This window comes from Homo sapiens, chromosome 5 (assembly GCF_000001405.40).
Source record: "Homo sapiens chromosome 5, GRCh38.p14 Primary Assembly".
Taxonomy (NCBI): domain Eukaryota; kingdom Metazoa; phylum Chordata; class Mammalia; order Primates; family Hominidae; genus Homo; species Homo sapiens.
In genome coordinates, this window is record NC_000005.10 from 55,507,099 (window position 1) to 55,522,504 (window position 15,406).

At 39.7% G+C, this 15,406-nt stretch overlaps 1 protein-coding gene and 1 non-coding gene across 5 annotated transcripts in view; both read right to left on the reverse strand.

The window, feature by feature from the left end:
- Positions 1-15,406, reverse strand: part of PLPP1 (phospholipid phosphatase 1) — a 110,111-nt gene that overhangs the window by 82,245 nt on the left and 12,460 nt on the right. The window lies entirely within an intron of this gene.
- Positions 1,752-1,828, reverse strand: MIR5687 (microRNA 5687). The gene has a single exon (NR_049869.1). It is a non-coding gene; the product is annotated as a microRNA 5687 (primary transcript).

Genomic DNA, 15,406 nt, shown 5'->3' on the forward strand with positions numbered 1-15,406 from the left:
TTCTTTACAAAAGATCATTAGATGTCCAAGAGTAAAGAAAGTCATTCAAAATTTTACCAACTTAATAAGCAAAACTAAAAAGTTTGCCAGATAAGACAGCTTGTTTCCTCTGTAGGTCAAGTATACAGACTCCATCCTGATTATCATTCCTGATCATTTGGCACATGTTTCATGTCTAGCACACACCTAGACATTCATATCTGGCACTCAGAAAAGAATACAGACTGAAGATGAATATCTGGAATTATCAGTTATAAAGGAAATAGCTGAAGCCATGAGACTTTAAGATTGCTCGGAAAAAGTGGCATGAGCCATAATCTTGGAAAGAAAAGAGAAAGTCAACAGCCAACTAAGAAGAAATGAACTACCAGGAAAGTAGGATGAAGAGTATGAAAGGGAGCAGGGAAAATGAAGGAGCACTTTTCAAAAATGTTAATAGTAGCTACTTTTTACTTAACCCCCACCTTATGCCACGACAGCATGCTAGGTGTTACAGCTTTCCAATCCTTCAATAAGTTTAAAAGGTAAATATTATTGTATAATTTTGAAAATGAGGAAACCTGCCCAAAGCCACGTAGGTTGCAGAATTGAGATTCAAACCCAATTGAGTCAATGAGACCGAGAGCCCTCTGGGTTCACCTGGTCTTAGTGAATCCAGCAGGCTCTCAGTCTCATTGAGTAGTAAAAGAACAAAGTACAGATAAAAGGTCACTGATGATTTTTTTAGTCCACCTATATCTGCACACTGATCACTGAAAACTTTTTTTTTTTTTTTTGAGACAAGAGTCTCACTCTGTTGCCCAGGTGGGAGTGCAATGGCACAATCTCAACTCACTGCAACCTCCACCTCCCAGGTTCAAGCAATTCTCATGCCTCAGCCTCCTGGAGACCTGAGATTTCAGGCATGTGCCACCATGCCTGGCTAATTTTTATATTTTTATTAGAGACAGGGTTTCACCATGTTGGCTATGCTGGTCTCAAACTCCTGGCCTCAAGCAATCCTCCTGCCTCAGCCTCCCAAAGTGCTAGGATTACAGGCATGAGCCACCATGCCTGGTCTAATAATTCTTGACAGAAGGCCATGCCCAGTTCGCATGACCTCCCCAAAGGGACCCAGGGCCTGCTACTCTCCACAGCTATACAAATGAAATATGAAGTTTATTTCTTCCCACTTCCCATTCTCTTTGGCCCTGATGGAAAAGATATGGCAAGCAGGAAGAAAGTGAGATAAGACACTGTGGGCACCTCTATGTGTCTGGCACCATATTGAATATTTATTTTCATTTAATTCTCATAATTCTAAAACACATGATCCAAGAAGGCACAGACATTTCTGTTTTGTTCACCAATATATCCCAAGTACTTAAGTCATTGCCTAGAACAAGGCAGGCCTTCAACAAATATTTGATGAATGAACAGTCATCCTGCAAAACAGGTATTATTATCCCCATTTTAAAGATCTGGGAGTGGCTCAGAAAGGACAAGTAACTTAATTAAAATCATACATATAATAAACAGGGTGAAATTAAAAATATTTAATAACTCATACTTGTACCAGCATCGGCCACTCAGAACAGACACTAGCTGGTGCTAGAGGAGCTGGGTTCTGCTTCAAACTTTTAGCTGAGGTATCATAGGGAGGTCCATAGAAGGGACTAAGACAATGAAGAGTCATGGGGCAGGGGAAGTGAAGACCCAGGTGTACACTGGCTGTCAGCCTCAATAGTTAAGTGGTGCACTCAGGATTCCAACCTGTACTTATTTGACCCTAAAACGTTCTAAATAAAGTGGGTACCATTTAGAAGATTTCAGAGTCAGATAAGTGAGGAGAGCAGAGAACAACTAGAGCTTTTAATAGAGTAGAAAAAAACTAGTCAAAACAACTACAATGTGAAATGGAATTAGAACTGAATTTAAAAATTGGTAACTGAACTCAATCTGCTGTTAGACAACTAAAAAACAGGATGATTTCACTAAAGTAACGTAGAGGGGAATGAGTAACAAAGAGAAATAAATGTGAATGGGCAAAGCAAAACTACAGCATGAAGGTTTTCAATTTCAGGTAAACAATTTGTGTATGTTTCAATAAGAAATGAAAAATCAACACTGGTTCTTGAGCAAGAAAGCTGTGCTTCAGGACAATGAATTTGTGCAAGGTATTGGTAGGGAAGGGGCAGAGCCTGGTGGCAGGTGAGAGGTATCAGTGATAGCACTGTACAGTATATTTGAGTGTGATTCACAGAGATGTTATGAAAAGTGTTAACAGGCAAGAATTCAAAGAACAGTGCACCCTCAACTTTTAGAGGCACCTACATTCTGGTCACTTAGCTTACAGTCACCATCTCTCTGTGGCTGACATGGTTTTATTATAAAAAGTTCTTCGTTATCTTTTCTTTTTTATTTTAAAATTAGGATAAAAGGGAGAAAAAGCAGTTGGGATATAGGATATAAGTGACACTTACCAAAGATGGTTTTTACATTTGTAGTTTTACGTCAGTAATTGCCTACAATATCCTCAACCTTGGAGTAGCTTAGTTCATTAAGACACTTAAAATAAATTTGTGTATATATTTAATGAGCTTTTAAAAAATCACGAGCTATTAGGGCAAGTTACTTCACTATGGACTCTCACATTTCCACACAAATAAAAAACAAGTTAACCTATTTATTTATACACTAACAAAAACAAAAAGCAAACCTTCTCACCTGTTGTTCCCTTCCCAGAAAGGCACAAGAAAACAGTGCCAACTGGCCAAGAACAACATTAATTCCTTCCACTCCCTCATGGTACAGCTGTTCGCTTTCTTTCTCTTCCCTTTTAAGATGGCAAAGGTCACAATCAGTAGTAAACCGGCCACGTGATTTTTATATGTCAAAAGCAAGGAGATAACTGAGGTAAAGGGTACTGGGAGAGACAGCTGATTTTTTTCAATTGTACTTTCTCCTGGCCACTTATCGGGAAACTATTTAGGGCTTCCATGGTATTTGAAGCTATAACTTAATAACTTCTTTGCCAAAAAACATTCTGTTTACATGGAACTAGGGTTAGAAGTGATATAAGCACATTTAGAAAGGGACAAAAACCTACAGCAAAACTGTACAGTAACATTTACATCACAGTACTTGGCATAATCAAAAACGCATTATGCTATGTGAAAGAGACTAGACTCAAATGGCTACATACTATATAGCCTTTATGATTCCATTTATATGACATTATATGACATTCCATTTATATGACATATAGGATAGAGAACACATCACTGTTTGCCAAAAGTCAAGGCTGGTGGGAGGAGCTGACTACAAAGAAGAAGAATGAGGGCACTCAGGGAGGTAACACACCAATTCAGTATCTTGATTGTATCTGGTTACAGGACTAAATTCCATATTATCTGAATTCACAGAACTGTACACTAAATGAGTCAATCTTACTATACATTTTTAAAACACAACAATTAAATTTTAGCTTAAGCCTCATCTCACCTACTCCTCATACCTATTTCAAACCTCTTGACATGCTCTACACAATGACCCCACCCCCTCCACCTAGCTAATGCCTACTTGCCATTCTAGCTTCCATTCAGCTACTGGTGGAACCAATCCTTTGGTGTGCCAGGGTGGAGTACTGGACAGAGTTGGGTAGTCAAGTATATCTGGCTGGGTTTACTTCTGGCTTTCTCCCAGTTACTACTTGTGGGAGCTTGGGCAAATTACTTACCTGTCTGAGCTCAGTTTCCTCATCTGGTAAGTAAGAATAATACTGTGTACATACCTCCCAGAACTGCTGCAAACTAAGAGCCTAGTAATGTGCCTAACTTAGTGCCTGGCACATTAAGAGGATTAATAAATGCTTACTCCCTGATCTTTCTTCCCTGCCTACTGCCCTCACAACCCCTGCTCTCTTTCCGAGCCCCCATGGACCTTATACATATATAAACCTATCACAACACTTAGTTTATTATTGTAATTCTTTATCTCTGCAAATAAAATGTGTCTATGTATCTCTTTAATCCCAGAATTCACAGAAACCAGCATATTCATTGCCTAATAGTAAATTGTTTGAAGAATAATCTGTCCACCTGATCTGATCTTGTTGTTAAAGGAGTTACTGGAAAAGAGAGAGAAGCAGGCTGAAAAGGACAGAGTACAATGAGAGAGTTTGAGATGGACAACCCAAGGTTTGCCAAAGTTTCCACAAGGACGTTGTACACAGCATAATAGCACAATTGCAAATAACCTAAATATCCAAAAATGGGGGCAAAGTGACTTCTACCAAATACATACAGTGAAATACCATATAACCATTAAAATTTCAGACAATTATATTGAAAATTACAAAATATATGTATACATGCAGTAATATCACAAGTTTTTTTTTCTTTTAAAGCATGGGTTTAAAAAAATGTGGGTATATGGACATTAAAAAGCACTGGAAAGATAAGCAACCAAAATGTTAAAAGGGGTAATCTTTGGATGATGGTGAGAATATTACTAATGATATTTATTTTCTTTTCTGGGCTCTTCAGACTTTAGCGATTTAACACGTGTTGAGTTTTTTTTTTTTTTTTTTTTTTTTTTTTTTTGAGATGGAGTCTAGCTGTGTCGCCCAGGCTGGAGTGCAGTGGCGCGATCTCTGCTCACTGCAAGCTCCGCCTCCAGGGTTGACGCCATTCTCCTGCCTCAGCCTCCAGAGTAGCTGGGACTGCAGGCGCCGGCTACCACGCCCAGCTAATTTTTTTTTTTTTTATTTTTAGTAGAGACGGGGTTTCACCGTGTTAGCCAGGATGGTCTCAATCTCCTGACCTCGTGATCCGTCCACCTCGGCCTCCCAAAGTGCTGGGATTACAGGCTGAGCCACTCTACTAAAAATACAAAAATTAGCTGGGCGTGGTGGCAGGTGGCAGCCTGTAATCCAAGCTACTCAGGAGGTTGAGGCAGGAGAATCGTTTGAATCTGGGAGGCGAAGGTTGCAGTGAGCCAAGATAGCGCCATTGCACTCCAGCCTAGGCAACAAGAGCAAAACTCCTCGAAAAAATAAAAAGGAAAAAAAGAAACTTCAGGAATCAGAATATTTTTTAAGAAAGCAAGCTGGTCAGGCGATGCAGCTCAAGCCTATAATCCCAGCAATTTGGGAGGCTGAGGTGGGTGGATCACCTGGGGTCAGGAGTTCAAGACCAGCCTGACCAACATGGTGAAATCCCGTCTCTACTAAAAATACAAAAATTAGCCAGGCGTGGTGGCAGGTGCCTGTAATCCCAGCTATTTGGGAGGCTGAGGCAGGGAAATCACTTGAACCCGGGAAGTGGAGGTTGTAGTGAGCTGAGATTACACCACTGCACTCCAGCCTGGGCAACAGAGCAAGACTGTCTCAAAAAAAAAAAAAAAGAAAGAAAGAAAGAAAAGAAAAGAAAAGAAAAGAAAGAAAGAAAGAAAGAAAGAAAGAAAGAAAGAAAGAAAGAAAGAAAGAAAGAAAGAAAGGTAACATAAAACTTACTAATGACAGTATTCCATATCATCCAAGGTTCAAATGTCTAAAAATTAGAGTTAAAAAGTAGATTGTGCCAAACCTATACAATGAAATACTATGTATTTCCAAAGTCAAAAGAGTAAAATACATTATAAACTACACACACACACACACACACCCCTTTGGGGAAAGAAACAAGGTATGGGGAGCTCCTCTAATGGAAAAGTAATTTTTAACTTGGAAAATCTATAACAGATGTATGTACAAGAACATTTCACCAAATATTAACAACACTGTATTTTAGTGGTCTTTCTTCAAACGCTTGTCAAAAACCAATAAATTTCAGAAGACAAGGCAGGATAGTGAATCAAGGAGAAGGTTCCCCTTTGAAGTATAGTTTCTACAGAGTTTATTAAGTCTTTAAAGAACTTGTGACCTGTAGAGTTTTGTCCGGGTATTATTTAAGCTTGTAAAGCAAAGCATCCTATATTCAGGTGAGAACACGTGGTTAACTTATTTCTCTCTTTGAACCAACAATGAGATTTCTAGTCTTAGCAATTCTACCCACAAAATTCCCTTAACCAATGAAGTCTCCCTTATTAGTAACTGGGAAAGAAATAATTTCTCCTATTTCATAGTAAGGCCCATATTCCAAAGAATATCAAGTATGTGTTTACTATAGTATTACTACTATAATGACTCCTTTTTTTTTAAGACAGAGTCTTGCTTTGTCACCCATGCTGGAGGTACAGTGGCATGATCTCAGCTAACTGCAACCTCTGCCTCCAGGGTTCAAGCGATTCTCCTGCCTCAGCTTCCAGGGTATCTGGGACTACAGGCAGGTACCACCACACCTGGCTAATTTTTGTATTTTTTTTCTTTTTTTAGTAGAGACAGGGTTTCACCATGTTGTCCAGGCTGGTCTCGAACTCCTAACCCCAGGTGATCCGCCCGCCTTGGCCTCCCAAAGTGCTGGGATTACAGGCATGAGCCACTGCGCCCGGCCTATATTAACTCTTGAAGAAAGCTGGCAAATTCTAATGCTCTTATAAAAATTCTAGGGTAATCAACTTCCGTAAAGGTTCATACATAGGCTAGGAGTGGTGGCTAATGCCTGTAATCCTAGCACTTTGGGAGGCAGAGGTGAGAGGATCTCCTGAGCCCAGCCTGGACAACACAGTGAGACCAGGACTCGACAAAAATTTTAAAAATTAGCCAAGCATGGCAGTGCACATCTGTGGTTCCAGCTACTCAGGAGGCTGAAGTGTGAGGAATGCTTAAACATAGGAGGTCAAGGCTACAGTGAGCCATGTTTGTGCCACTGCACTTCAGCCTGGGAGACAGATGTTGTGTAGGGTGGGGATTGAGAGCACATTTTAACACCTTTAAGGAGACTGCTTTAGCAATCAAACTTACGGAAATCAGACTGACTTCATTTCAGTCATTTTGGTATACAATTAGTTATCTCAGTGTTCAAAATATGTGTAGAAAAAAAATTCGAAAATCAAAAATACAAACAAAAAATTTTAAATGGCCAGGCACATGGCTCATGCCTATAATCCCAGCACTTTGGTAGGCCAAGGCAGGCAGATTGCTTGAGCCCAGGAGTGCAAGACCTGCCTAGACAACATAACAAAACCCCATCTCTACAAAAGAAACAAGTATAAAAATTAGTCAGCTGTGGTGGCATGCACCTGTAATCCCAGCTACTCAGGAGGCTGAGGTGGGAGGATCAAATTGAGCCCTGGAGGTCAAGGCTGCAGTTAGCTGTGATCACACCACTGCACTCCACCCTGAACAACAGAGTGAGGAAGACCTGGTCTCAAAAAAAAAAAAAAATTAAACAACCAAATAAAATCCAGACCTGACACCTCAGCTGGTTTTGAAAGTTCATATCCCCCCACCATAAAAAAAATTTTAAATCTTAAAAGTATTTATGTGGGTCCATCACATCTAGTTTGAAGTTATGCCAAATGGCAATGGCCCAGAAACTAAAATAAAGTTATACTAAGGTGTGTCTCAGAAGGAAAACATAAAAACTCTTACTCTGGCAGGAAGTTACCAAATTGGCATATCTAAATTAGTAAGCTTTGTTTAAAACACACACGCTTTTTTTTTAAAGGCACACAAATATAAGGCATACATGCCAAAAACGACTGGCAAAATACTTATTTATTGGTTATTATTGCAGTAGCAAATAATATTTCCATTTCCCCAGAAATGTATGCTTGTATCACTCAAGTTATTTTACACAAAAGATAAGATGAAGAAGGAAGGATTCCCACAAATGATTCCTTTGAGGCTAAGAGCAAACTTATAATGCTGAAACTACACAATAAACAACTGTTACCATGAGAAGCAAGAAAACAGGTAGACATCAGCTTATTGAGTGCCTACTAAATACCTGCTACTTTATATACACAGATTGTCATTTAATCCTAACAAATCCGTGACGTAGACAGTATTCGCTCCATTATACAAATGAAGAAATTGAAGCTCTTTAGGACTAAATAATCAACTGTGCGACCTAACACAAGAAAATAGCAAAGCAGTATTACCAGGCTCCAATCCCAGACTCTTTCCGCTATACTTGGTGATAGTTAGAAAACAATATATCAAATTCTCAGCAATGAGGGTTCTGTAAGGGTGGTCAACGATTCCTATACCATTGTTCTAAAAATGACATTTCTCCTTCTGGCAAGATTCTTCTTCCTTCATCTGGCACATCATAGGAAACACAAAAAACTATGATCCCAGACTATTCATGTTTCAGCTGATATCCCTAACAGGTCCTCCTCCTATCCTCCTCAGAGATGATCCTGCTAGCCTGTGCTTGTTATTTTCTAAAGGAGGTTCATGTTGCACATGTATTCACTCAGCCAATATTTGAGTGTCTTCTCCCTTAAGCTACCACATTCTCCCTTCTTCCTCAATCCAACTTTTTCAAAGAATAATCTATACCCAGCAATATCCATCTCTTTCAGCTTCCAACTCACCACTGAAATGGCTTTACATAAGGTTATAAATGATCTTTGTGTAACTAAACCCAATGGACACTCTCCAGTCTTTATCTTGTTTGACCCTTCAGAACAAAGTAGATCGTTACCACTCTCTCCACTTGGCTTCCCAGAAACACTCTCCTAGCTTTTAAGGAATTGCTTCTCAGTCTTGGTGGTCTTAATTCCCTCCAACCAATCTGAAAAGTCAGTGTTTCTCAAAGCTCAGTATAAAGTCTTCTTCCTTTTCATTTTATAACTTCTTCCTGAAATTTCATCAATTCTCATGGCTTCAATTACCACGAATATGCCAACGATTCTCAAAAGTCTGACCATTCCTCTGAGCTCTAGAACCATTATCCAAACAAGAACTTGGTACTTCCACTTAAATATTTCAAAAACATCTTAAACTTACATGCCCCAAACCAAACGATCTCCTCCCCATCCCCCTTCCTATCAAACCAGGTTCTCATCTAGCACACTCCACCTCAGTAACTGGCAGGAACCAACATCTGTTCAATTATACAAGCCAGAAGCTTCAGAACTATTCTTGACATTTCTCTCTCTCCTACCCTACACCTTCAACATGTCACCAAGACAGGTATCCTTTACTTCCCAAATACCTCTGAAATGTATCTACTTTTCTCCATTTCTACCACCATCACCACCACCTCTTTAGTCTCACTGCCTGCCTCACTTGGACTGTTACAGCAGCTTCCTAACTGATCTCCCTAAATCCATTATTTCTTAGCTCTAATCTATCATTCTACCCTGCAGCCAAAGTAATCATTTTTAAAAGCTACCTCATCCTCCTTTTTTTTAGACCCCTTATTATAAACTATCATAGCACCCATACTTCTCCTTCACAATACTTATTGGTTCATTTTTCATATTTATTTGTATGATTACTTGTATCTCTATTACCTAAGACAGTGCTTGGCACACAGTATATGAGCAACAGACATTTGTGGAATAAACAAATGCCCACTATGTAACGGTGACTGGGCCACATGCCAAGGAGAACATACAGATTAAGACACAGTCCTTTTCAGATAAACTAAAGCTGTGAACTCAGGTGAGTTACCCAAGCAACAGGTGACAGAACTGAGATTCAAACTCAGACCTGTATGCTTCCAATGTCCATACTCAAACTTTATGTATCCCATGAACACAAAAGAATTCTGCAAAATATCTACATATTAGTAAAAATGAATGGAAATTTGTTTCGTGTCTTAATAAAATACAAAATCTGCAGTTGAAATTGCAAGGTAAGAATCATCCTAGCATTCTAAGCTCTTTTAAAAGGTACAACACTGTTTCCCTGTTATTTTGGGTAATTATAGCTTACATAAACATAATGGTAGCCCATTCAAATAGTATCCATTTACATTCTTTATTGCAGAAAGTATTAATATGTCTTTATCTCATATAATTCACTAAAGTCTCCTATAATTCACTATAAGTCAGATAATTCACTAAAATATGTCTATGGCTAGCCTCATAGCAACTATAACACTTCTGCTACAATTCTATTTGACAGTCCAAAATTTCAAACTCCTCTGCTTTTACTACAACTTTAATTTACAAAATATTCAACCAAATTATGCTATCTTTCAAATCAAATATTTCTTTTTTTACTTTTTTCAAGACCCTATCTCACTCTGTCGCCCAGGCTAGAGTATAGTGGTGCAATCACAGCTCATTGCAGCCTTGACCTTCCCAGGCTCAGGTGATCCACCTCAACCCCCAAGTTAGCTGGGGACTACAGGCCTGCACCACCAAGCCCAGTTAATTTTGTTTTGTTTTGTTTTTTTGGGTAGAAACAAGGTTTTGCCATGTTGCCCAGGCTGGTCTTGAACTCCTGGGCTCAAGCGACCTGCCCACCCCTGCCTCCCAAAGTGCTGGGAATACAGGTGTGAGCTACAACACCAGGCCCAATTTTCATCCTTAATCATGAAACATGTGAGGATATGAAATAAGAGCAACCACCACAAAGCTCTTCAAGTGAGTTGCTCCTTTTTCTAGCAAATCTAGAATACGGACCTAATTAATTGACCAACCTAAAGAGCAAATTCCCTACTTCAGGCAATGTAAATCACTATCAATGTGATTCTAGACTTAATCCAACTGAAAATAAAATCTCTACCACAATCTCTTTACGGGACAGCAAACTCTGGCCTTCCAAAGCATGTCCTCATGATTAATCCTCCTTCCTCTCAAAAAAGCCTCATTCTCTTCAGAAGTGCTCCTGAAAGGCAAAAACAGAGCTACCAGCAATATCTACTTTTTTCTTTTTTGTTGTTGAGACATTGTTTCACTCTAGCTGCCCAGGCTGGAGTGCAGTGGCGCAATCTCAGCTCACCGCAACCTCTGCCTCCCAGTACAAGTCATTCTCCTGCCTCAGCCTCCTGAGCAGCTGGGATTATAGGCGTGAGCCACCACACCCAGCTAATTTTGTAGTTTTAGTAGAGATAGGGTTTCACCATGTTGGTCAGACTACTGATCTCGTGATCCGCCTGCCTCGGCCTCCCAGAGTGCTGGGATTACAGTCATGGGCCACCGCACCCAGCCCTAAGACTGCATTATAAACAAGATCCCAGGTGATTCCTATGCACATTAACTCTAGAGAAGCACTCATCTAGAAATTTCCCAAATCTCCCTAATGAGAAGAATCACCTGAGATGCTTAAGTATGTAGATTATCCAGCTATTTCTTAGAAATTCTGATTCATTAAATCAGGTAATTTGAAAAATTACTCTGGGTTAGTCTCATACAGCAGGTCCTTGAAAAAACCTCATTTCATTATAATGTTGATAAGAAAAAAAAAATTGACACCCAGCTGGGGCCTCAGCCTCCCAAAGTGCTGGGGTTACAGGCATGAGAGACCGCGCCCGGCCTTTTTTCATTTTTTAATTTTCCTTTTCCTACTCTCATCTTTGCCTCCTCTTTTACCAGAAGAAACATATGTAACCAAAGCCAGGCAGGAGGCCTACACTACTTTGTGTCAGGGATCATTTTCCTATATTACTACTTTCTAAATACTTCAGTCTTCAACTTTTTCCTATTTTATGCTGACAGTAACACTCACCCCATTCTTAGCCAGGCTAAGTTTATAATTGATCTCCCACAAGTCCACTGCAGTTGCTCAAAATAGCCCCTTATATACCATGTGCTCCTTGTCTTACTACCTGAATCCATTGGTGTCAACTGCTGCAAGATGACTCTCCTTAATAACTGAGGTTCATTTACCACTATGATCCTGAGAGATAAACAAGGAATACATCATTCTCATTATAATTTACAATCAGTAAATGAAGCAGCCATGGGATCTTGTCCATGAGATCACAGAGAATAGCAGAGGCAAGACCAGAATCTGACTTCCAAACCAACTGTTTTTACTACTAGATTACACTTTGAACTCTTTAAATAAAGGGTTCAAACTAATTGCCACTCACTAAAAAATCATTTACAATGTCAAATCCTGAGGAAAGGGGGGAAATCCATAAAAAAACTTCAGAGGGTAATTACTGGTTTTCAGATTTGGTTAATAATTATATTCAATGGCAACACTGAGAACTGCATTCATACTGTGGGACATAAAGTAAATTTTAATATAGATATCCACACTAGCCATAAAGTTGAACATTATCCATAACCTGCCTAACAAGTTTTGATAACATCACAATTTAAGAAACCTTTTCTCCAAGTGGCTACTGGGCTAGGCAGAGACAACAGTTGAAAAGGAGCACATTTAAAACTCCTTTCTCTTATCCATGCCCTTTGAAAAATAGTAAAATACAAAAAATGTCACTTGCCTCTGCTACACTGCATAACTATGCTAGTGATACTTTCTAGATCAAATATTCTCTCAAAAGTGTGTTTTTTAAAAATTTTAAGAAAAAAGTGGCCAGGCATGGTGGCTCACACCTGTAATCCCAGCACTTTGGGAGGCCAAGGTGGGTGGATCACCTGAGGTCAGGAGTTCAAGACCACCCTGGCCCACATGGTGAAACCCCATCCCTACTAAAAATCCAAAAAATTAGCTGGGCATGGTGGTGAGCACCTGTAATCCCAGCTACTCAGGAGGCCGAGGCAAGAGAATCACTTGAACCAGGGAGCTGGCGGTTGCAGTGAGCCAAGATCGCGCCATTGCACTCCAGCCTGGACAAAAGCAAAATTCTGTCTCAAAAAAAAAAAAAGAAAAAGAAAAAAGTATAAAAGTATGAATTTTAATTACATTTAGTCATCTATTTAACAAGTTACCTTTCTGAAGACAGTTACCTAAAATTAGGACAACCTCAGAATACTATAAATGACTGTAATCATTACATACATCTATTTCTTAAACTCTACAGAAAAAATAAAGAATAAATTATTCATCAAAAGAAGTTATGATGAGAAGTGGCAATGTTTAACTCATTCAACCTGTACTTTAAGTTAGCTCTTGACAAGTTTATATTCAAGAAATAAAATCTTCATGTTTTAGGAGCTGAGGACTAAGAGAAGTTATTACTATCCAAACCATGCCATTCTCACCTCACACACATCTTTATTTATTCATATTTCTAGTTTGCTGTTCTCTCTCCAACCAAGAACTTCATTTAGGTACCTTGTCTATGAGCTGTGGGAATACTGTTCACCTAGAAGTACAATCAAAAGATCTGAGGTATCTGATTCCAGAAAGAAATAGGTTAGAAGTAATCAAAACATTTCCCATCATGATCTGGGCACCAGGAACTGAAATACAAACCAGGTTCTGACTTCAATGCTGTTTAAACTGCAGCTAGGACAAATTAAACAAACAAACAAAAAGTCACCAACACATGAAATCACATTTAAATAGCAGACTGTGTCAGTGGTACCAAATTGGCTTATTAGCTTAATAATAACAAAAACAGCAAAAATATTTGAGTGCCTACTGCAGGCCAGGACTATGTTAACCACTTCACATACATTGTCTCATGCATTATCTCATCTAATTTCACAGCACTATGAGAAAGGCACTATTAGCATCATCTCTTTCCTCATTAGATGACGAACTCAAAGAGTTGAGGTGACCTGCCCAATGTCACACAATAGTAATAGATGGAGCTAGACTTTAAACCCTGGAAGAATGGCTGACTCAAGTTTATTGCCCAGTCATTCATATAACAAGTATTTGAATGGCGATACACTTCCTAAGCACCAATATTAGAGTGTTTTCACCTATTAATGTGGATAGACTCATATCCTTCTGAACTATCTACAGGAATTATTTCAGAATTCAGCAGTAGCCAAAAGTAATGTGCCCAAAAGTTTACATTATCTCTGCTGTACAGCAACAGCAATGGTTTCAGGGGAAATTGTTCTGAAATAAAGACAGACTTCTGGCCCAGTACAATGGCTCACACCTGTAATCCCAGCACTTTAGGAGGCTGACGCAGTAGGATCACTTGAGTCCAGGAGTTCCAGACCAACCTGGGCAACAGAGTGAGACCTCATCTCTACCGAAAAATCAAAAATTAGCCGGAGCTGGGGGCGGTGGCTCATGCCTGTAATCTCAGCATTCTGGGAGGCTGAGGTGGGCAAATCACTTGAGGTCAGGAGTTCGAGACCAGTCTGGCCAACATGGTGAAACTCTGTCTCTACTAAAAATACAAAAATTAGCCAGGCGTGGTGGCACATACCTGTAATCCCAGCTACTCGGGAGGCTGAGGCAGGAAGATCGCTGGAATCCAGGTGGCAGAGCTGCAGTGAGCCGAGATTGCGCCACTGCACACCAGCCTGGGTGACAGAGCAAGACTCTGTCTCAAAAAAAAAAAAAAAATTGGCCAGGCATGGTGGTGCACACCTGCAGTCCTTGCCACTCGTGGAGGCTGAGGTGGGAAAATCACTTGAGTCTGGGAGGTCAAGGCTGCAGTGAGCTGTGATCATGCTACTGCACTCAGCCTGGGCAACAGAGCGAGACTCTGTCTCAAAAAAAAACAAAAAACAAAAAACAAAAAACTTGATTAAAATACCTGCCTATCTCACCTTCCAAAGCTCTGTGTACCTTTTGAGGATGGAGACCTTGTCTCACTCATTCTTAGTAATCTCAGTGCTAACAGGCACTCAATAACATTATACAGTTTTATCATTTTTCCTATGAGTCTGTCTTCTACCATAAGTAATAAGCTAGTAAAAATCCATGGGTTATATTTTTCCCTTGATCGAAAAATGCATACCTATTTTTGGTATCTCCAGTGGTAGGTAGGGCATAAAATGAGGCTAATACTATGTACCTCAGAGTTTTGTGATGATTACATGAGTTCATGTGAAACATTTACCAAACGCATATACTAGGCATTCAATAGATAATAGCTTTCTTCTCTACTCATTTACCTCTCCAGCACCAAGCAGCAAACCCATCTCTCCTACTACTGATGCAAATGAACCAAAAGGCAAGGCAGAATCTGCCGTGACAAGCTGCCAATTAACTGAAGGGCTCATCTGCTACACGTTTCCTATATGTCATTTTCCTGGACACCCCACCCTGAAAAAGACTCAGGAAACATTTCCAAGCAGTGACAACTGAGGACTAAATCACGAGATTCTAACTATATCTGCTAGAATGCATTACCAAAGGTCACTCTGAACTCCATACACGATTCATCTAAAACACAGGGAGAGACAAAGATCTTCCTTTCCTGTGAAAACCTGAAAGGAATGCCTATAACAACGCTATTTGAAGAAAAAGTCTGTGAGCATGTTACTGAATAGGGGAAATTAGTTACATCCTCCAGTATGATATAACCTCATTGCTAATGCTTAATAGTTATTGGGAGTCTGAGATATGAAATATTAAAGTGCCTCTTCTTTTTGTTTGTTTTTATAGATACAGAGTCTCGCTCTGTTGCCCAGGCTGGAAGTGCAGTGGCACAATCACAGCTCACTGCAACCTGCAACTTCTGACCTCAAGCAATCC